This window comes from Homo sapiens, chromosome 1, assembly GCF_000001405.40.
Source record: "Homo sapiens chromosome 1, GRCh38.p14 Primary Assembly".
In the NCBI taxonomy this organism is placed as follows: Eukaryota; Metazoa; Chordata; class Mammalia; order Primates; family Hominidae; genus Homo; species Homo sapiens.
In genome coordinates this window covers 153,579,664-153,586,482 of record NC_000001.11, presented here as the reverse complement: position 1 = coordinate 153,586,482, position 6,819 = coordinate 153,579,664, and the positions used below count along the sequence as shown (strand labels likewise).

The 6,819-nt window shown below is 43.4% G+C and overlaps 1 annotated feature.

Moving 5' to 3' along the window:
* Positions 2,476–3,400: an enhancer, noted in NCBI's record as "NANOG-H3K27ac-H3K4me1 hESC enhancer chr1:153555559-153556483 (GRCh37/hg19 assembly coordinates)". NCBI's record gives its function as "activates a minimal SCP1, AML or CMV promoter by ChIP-STARR-seq in naive H9 embryonic stem cells {active_cell/tissue: H9 hESC(naive)}" and the evidence as "EXISTENCE:reporter gene assay evidence [ECO:0000049][PMID:30033119]".

The following is a 6,819-nucleotide window of genomic DNA, read 5'->3' as shown; positions in this document are numbered from 1 at the left end:
GTAGGCAATCTATTGCTTTTGGAAATGTTCAGAGTTTTAATTGAATTTGATCTTCTTCCACTTCAATATGAGTCTAAATGTGTTTTTTTCCTCAGTTACCCTATTTAGCATTCTATGAGCCCTTTCTATCTGAGATCTTTTTCTCTAATTCTCAGAAGTGTTTCAATGTTATTACTTCATTATTTCCTCCTCTCTGTTTTTTTTTTTTTTAATTCCCTGTCTGGGGAATCCTGTTATCCTGATATGAGCACTCTACTTCTATTCTCCATAGCACTTAGCTCCTTTAAAAATATTCTCTTTGTTCTCTACTTCTGCCTTCTGGGAGAGTTTCTCAGTCTGATCATTTAGCTCATCCATTTATTCTCCAGTTGTAGCCATCTTTTATTTTTCCCAATGATTATGCTCTTTATTTTATTTTATTATTATTTTATTGACACTCTGTCACCCAGGCTGGAGTGCAGTGGCACGATCTTGGTGCATTGCAACCTCTGCCTCCTGGGTTCAAGCAATTCTCCTGCCTCAGCCTCCTGAGTAGCTGGGATTACAGGCTCACACCACCACACCCGGCTAATTTTTGCATTTTTAGTAGAGACGGGGTTTCACCATGTTGGCTAGAATGGTCTTGATCTCTTGACCTTGTGATCTGCCCGCCTCTGCCTCCCAAAGTGCGGGGATTACAGGCGTGAGCCACTGCGCCTGGACAGTTATTTTTTTATGACTTCTTGTTTTTATTTCTATCACTAATCTCTCCTTTATCTTTTTGAGGATTTTATTACCTTAATTTAACTTTTTGGTCTACCAGTTTCAATAACTATGCTTCAAATGGTTCATGTTGGTCTTTTTGGGGGGTATTTTGTTACAATTTCTGTACATCTCAGGTTCTGGTGATTTTGGCTTGTGAGCCTGTGTTTCCTGGGCTGGAGTGGGGGTTGTTCTCAGCTACTGCATCTGGAGGTATTGGGGGAAATCCTCAGTGTGGACAGCCAAAGGCACTGCAGAACTAGTGTCACCATTTTGTTTGCGGTCATTCCGCTGGGCAACATCCTGGATGGGAATTTGCCTTTAAGCTTTATGTTGTGCACATGTACCCTGGAACTTAAAGTATAATAAAAATCTATCTATATATATACAAAATAAAAAAATAAAATATTCACTCATACATGTGGAAAAAAAATAAAAAAATAAAAAAATAAAAAGCAGCTCTGGGAAAAGGCAGTCTCCCTGGATTTAAACCTCCAGCTCTGTGGATTTGCAGTGGGAGGAAGCTTGTTGCCTCAGATCAGCCCCCGACTTACTTGCATCAGCTTTTTATCCTGATAGGCCTTGTGTTTTGCCCTGCTTGTTTCTTCTCTGGAGGCAATTGTATCATATCCTTGTTTTTTTCCAATCCTTAGACCTTGAAAAAATGTTTTCCTTAGTGTAATGGTCAGAACCTTCAAATTAATGTTGAATAAAGTGATAATAGCAAGAATCCTTTCCTTGTGTTTGACTTTAACAGGAACAATTTTAAAGCATTTACTGTTCATTCATTTACTGTTAAGAATAATTTAATGTTAAGAATAAGATTGCAGGCTGGGTGTGGTGGCTCATGCCTGTAATTCCAGCACTTTGGGAGGCCGAGGTAGGTGGATCCTTTGAGCTCAGGAGTTTGAGACCAGTGAGGGCAACGTGGTGAAACCCCACTAAAAAAAAAAAAATAAGATTGCAGTAGGTTTTTGCTTGTTGGTCAAGATGTTCCTTTCTATTCCTAGATTATTAAGCGTTATTATTATAAATGGGTATTGAATTTATTCTGGCATCATCATATGGTTTTAATTTTTAATCTCTTAATGTGGAGACTTACATTAATGTATTTTCTAATGTTAAAGTCATCCCTGCAATCATGACATAAACCCAACTTAGTCATAATTTTTCTTAAGTATAATACTTGATTCCATTTGCTAACAGTTTATTTAGGATTTTGCATCTATAATCATAAGTGAGATTGGGTCTCAATTTTCCTTTCTCATACGATACATTTCTGGTGTTGGTATGTAGGATGATCTGCTTGGTACATGGGTTTGGCTGTATGTAACGGATACCAAAAATAGTGGTGACGTGAATGAGAGGGAAGTTTTTTTTTTCTGTCCTGTATTATCTGGAGGTTGGTGGTCCAGGGCTGGTTTGGTGGTTCTGCTTAACCACCCCTAGTTCGTATGGTCCAAATAGCTCATGTACTTTCTAAGTGGCAGGGTGAAGAAACGGCATGTCTCTGACTTTTGAGCATGAATCAAAACTTGCATACCCCATTTCTACTTCTCTTGGCCAGAACTTAGTCATATGGCTACACTCAGCTGCAAGGAAGGCTGGGAAGTGTGGCCTTTATTTGAACTTAAAAGCAAAGATTCTTTTGCTGTGAAAGACAAGGGGAGAATAGGTAATAGGACAATTAGCAGTCTCTACCATAAAGGTTATTTTATATATGCCACATATGGGCAGTATTTCCTTTTTCTATTTTCTGGAAATTTAAGTTTGTATGATTTTTTTTTCTTTTTTTTTTTGGCTGACTTTTGTTTTTTTTTTTTTTAAATTTATTTATTTATTTATTTTTTAATTGATCATTCTTGGGTGTTTCTCGCAGAGGGGGATTTGGCAGGGCCATAGGACAATAGTGGAGGTAAGGTCAGCAGATAAACAAGTGAACAAAGGTCTCTGGTTTTCCTAGGCAGAGGACCCTGCGGCCTTCTGCAGTGTTTGTGTCCCTGGGTACTTAAGATTAGGGAGTGGTGTTGACTCTTAATGAGCATGCTGCCTTCAAGCATCTGTTTAACAAAGCACATCTTGCACCGCCCTTAATCCATTTAACCCTGAGTGGACACAGCACATGTTTCAGAGAGCACAGGGTTGGGGGTAAGGTCACAGATCAACAGGATCCCAAGGCAGAAGAATTTTTCTTAGTACAGAACAAAATGAAAAGTCTCCCATGTCTACTTTCTACACAGACACGGCAACCATCCGATTTCTCAATCTTTTCCCCACCTTTCCGCCCTTTCTATTCCACAAAACCGCCATTGTCATCATGGCCGGTTCTCAATGAGCTGTTGGGTAGACCTCCCAGACAGGGTGGTGGCCGGGCAGAGGGGCTCCTCACTTCCCAGTAGAGGCGGCCGGGCAGAGGCACCCCTCACCTCCCGGACGGGGCGGCTGGCCGGGCGGGGGGCTGACCCCCCCCACCTCCCTCCCGGACGGGGCAGCTGGCCGGGCAGAGGGGCTCCTCACTTCCCAGTAGGGGCGGTTGGGCAGAGGCGCCCCGCACCTCCCGGACGGGGCGGCTGGCCGGGCGGAGGGCTGACCCCCCCACCTCCCTCCCGGACGGGGGTGGCTGCCGGGTGGAGACGCTCCTCACTTCCCAGACGGGGTGGCTGACGGAGGGAGGGGCTCCTCACTTCTCAGACGGGGTGGCTGCCGGGCGGAGGGACTCCTCACTTCTCAGACGGGGCGGTTGCCAGGCAGAGGGTCTCCTCACTTCTCAGACGGGGTCGCGGCCGGGCAGAGGCGCTTATCACATCCCAGACGGGGCGGCGGGGCAGAGGCGCTTCCCACATCTCAGACGATGGGCGGCCGGGCAGAGACGCTCCTCATTTCCTAGATGGGATGGCGGCCGGGCAGAGACGCTCCTCACTTTCCAGACTGGGCAGCCAGGCAGAGGGGCTCCTCACATCCCAGACGATGGGCAGCCAGGCAGAGACGCTCCTCACTTCCCAGACGGGGTGGCGGCCGGGCAGAGGCTGCAATCTCGGCTCTTTGGGAGGCCAAGGCAGGCGGCTGGGAGGTGGTTGTAGCGAGCCGAGATCACGCCACTGCATTCCAGCCTGGGCACCATTGAGCACTGAGTGAACGAGACTCCGTCTGCAATCCCGGCGCCTCGGGAGGCCGAGGCTGGCGGATCACTCGCGGTTAGGAGCTGGAGACCAGCCCGGCCAACACAGCGAAACCCCGTCTCCACCAAAAAAATACAAAAACCAGTCAGGCGTGGCGGCGCGCGCCTGCAATCGCAGGCACTCGGCAGGCTGAGGCAGGAGAATCAGGCAGGGAGGTTGCAGTGAGCCGAGATGGCAGCAGTACAGTCCAGCTTCGGCTTGGCATCAGAGGGAGACCGTGGAAAAGGATTTTTTTTCTTATTTGGTAAACTTGTCTATGAAAACCATCAATTTTATCTTTGTTAGGTAGATTTATACTGCTAATCAATTTCTTTAATGATTATAGGTCTTCAGATTTTCTCCTTCTTAGTCAATGTTGGTCAGCTTTACATATAAATAATTTACATATATATAAAATTTACATATATATAATTTTTTTTCCTGCAAAGCTGCCTATTTCATCTAATTTAAAAAATGTCAACCTCAGCTTTAGCTGGGGGAATCCTGGTTAATCTGGTTTAAGAGTATAAGTCTTCAAAGTAATTTTGTTTTGCTTTTCCCAAGTGCCCCAAGGCCAAAACCAGTTTAGTATTACTTTTTATGTTGACTTCTTGGCTTTGGGGTTTTCTGAACCATTCCAGCCATGTAAACTAAAATCCCAAATCTGCATGAAGACAGGCCCAAGGTTAAAATTTCTCTAAGAAAACTTTCTCCATCCAGAGCCCAGGCGAAGACGTACAAGCTTCCTCGAAATCTCATTTTGCTCATGAGAGGTTTTTTCTTTCAGCCCATTCTTTCACCAAGAAAGTGGTACTTGGGGCACCTTGCTTCATGTAAGGTGGCTTTCGGATTCCCAGATACTTGCAGTTATAAGGACCCATCTCTTCACGATTGGTCCTTGAAAACTGAAGCCCCTTGTTTTCTGAGATTAGAAACCGTCCCTTCCCAAGAACAGCTGTAGCATTAACTCACGCCTAATTGGTTTTTAGTTTCCCCTTCGCTTTGGGCCTAGAAGGGTTTTCTTTACTTTAATGTGAACTTAGCTGTGAAATAAAAAAAGTATCACTGTCATGTTTTAACCAGATAGATTCTATTGCAGAAGCCCCTGTTGAAAATAAAAAAAAAAACCAAACAAACAAAAGAAAAAAAGAAAGAAAAGAAAAATAATCGATAGAAATGGAAGTCTAGCTATTTTTCCTTAACGCAATAACTTTATCAGAATATGTCCTGGCTTTGATAAGTCTGGATCATTTTCTTTTCTTAGAACATGATGTGCCTGGCTGGGAACAGTGGCTCACACCTGTAATCCCAGCACTTTGAGAGGCCAAGGTCAGTGGCGCACTTGAGCCTGGAGTTCGAGACCAGTCTGGGCAACATGAGGAAACCCTGTCTCTACAAAAAAATATTAGCTGGGCGTGGTGGCTTAATCCTGTAATCCCAGCACTTTGGGAGGCCGAGGCGGGCGGATTACCTGAGGTCAGGAGTTTGAGACCAGCCTGGCCAACGTGGTGAAACCCCATCTCTACTAAAAATAAAAAATTAGCTGGACGTGGTGGCTTGTGCCTATAATCCCAGCTACTTGGGAAGCTGAGGCAGGAGAATCGCTTGAACCCAGCAGGCGGAGGTTGCAGTGAGCCGATATGGCGCCACTGCACTCCAATTAGGGCAACAGAGTGAGACTCGGTCTTAAAAAAAATAAATAAATAAAATAAAAATTAGCCAGGCATGGTAGTGCACACCTGTAGTCCCAGCTACTTGGAGGCTGAGGTGAGAGGATCACCTGAGCCCAGGGAGGTCAATGCTGCAGTGAACCATGATTGTGCCACTGCACTCCAGCCTGCGCAACAGAGTGAGGCCATCTCAAAAAAAAAAAAAAAAAAAAAAAAAAAAAAAAAAAAAAAAGGTGGGTGTGTCCATTAGATCTGGAGTCAAGTATTTATTTTATTTTATTTATTTTATGTTTGAAAGTATTTATTTTAGATTATTTTATTCATTATCGTATGCTTTGTTCTCTTTTTCAAAAATATCAATTATAAATCATTTGGATTTTTCTGTTTTCCACATTTCTCATTCTTCCTATAATGCTATTTTCATTGTTGTGTTCTTCCATTTCATTTTTATGATTTTCAGAAATTTATCCATTATAGTCTTTTTTTTTTCCATTGCATTTATTCTATTTTAAAATATGGCCTTCTTGGACAGGCACGGTGGCTCACGCCTGTAATCCTAGCACTTTGGGAGGCTGACGCCGGTAGATCACCTGATGTCAGGAGTTCGAGACCAGCCTGGCCAACATGGTGAAACCCCGACTCTACTAAAAATACAAAAATTAGGTGGGTGTGGTGGTGCATGCCTGTAGTCCCAGCTACGCGGGAAGCTGAGGCAGGAGAATTGCTTGAACTGGGCAGGTGGAGGTTGCCGTTGAGCCGAGATCATGCCCCTGCACTCCAGCCTGGGTGACAGAGCGAGACTCTGTCTCAAAAAAATAAAAAAGTGACCTTCTTAGTTATAGAAGCCAGAAAATAGAAAAAAGAAAAAAAAAATATGGCCTTCAACTTTGAAATGTTTTACTTTTTCCCTTTTATTTATTTTCTAAAATCTGCTAATTTTCTCTTCTTCACCTTCTTTTGCTATATAATCTTTTCTCTGAAACTTTGTATCTCATTTTAAAAATTATTTTTAAGGCTGGGTGCGGTGGCTCATGCCTGTAATCGCAGTACTTTTGGTGGCCGAGAAGGGAGGATTGCTCAAGGCTAGGAGTTTATTTTAAAAATTATTTTTTAAAGAAGAGGTCATGTTATATGAGGTTTTTTTTTCCTTTAGAAGTATTTGTCAGAATTCTTCCTGAGTTTATTTGGATATATTGATAATTATACTTCATTTTTTGCTGCTTATGTTTCTTTCCTCCATTTATCTCTCT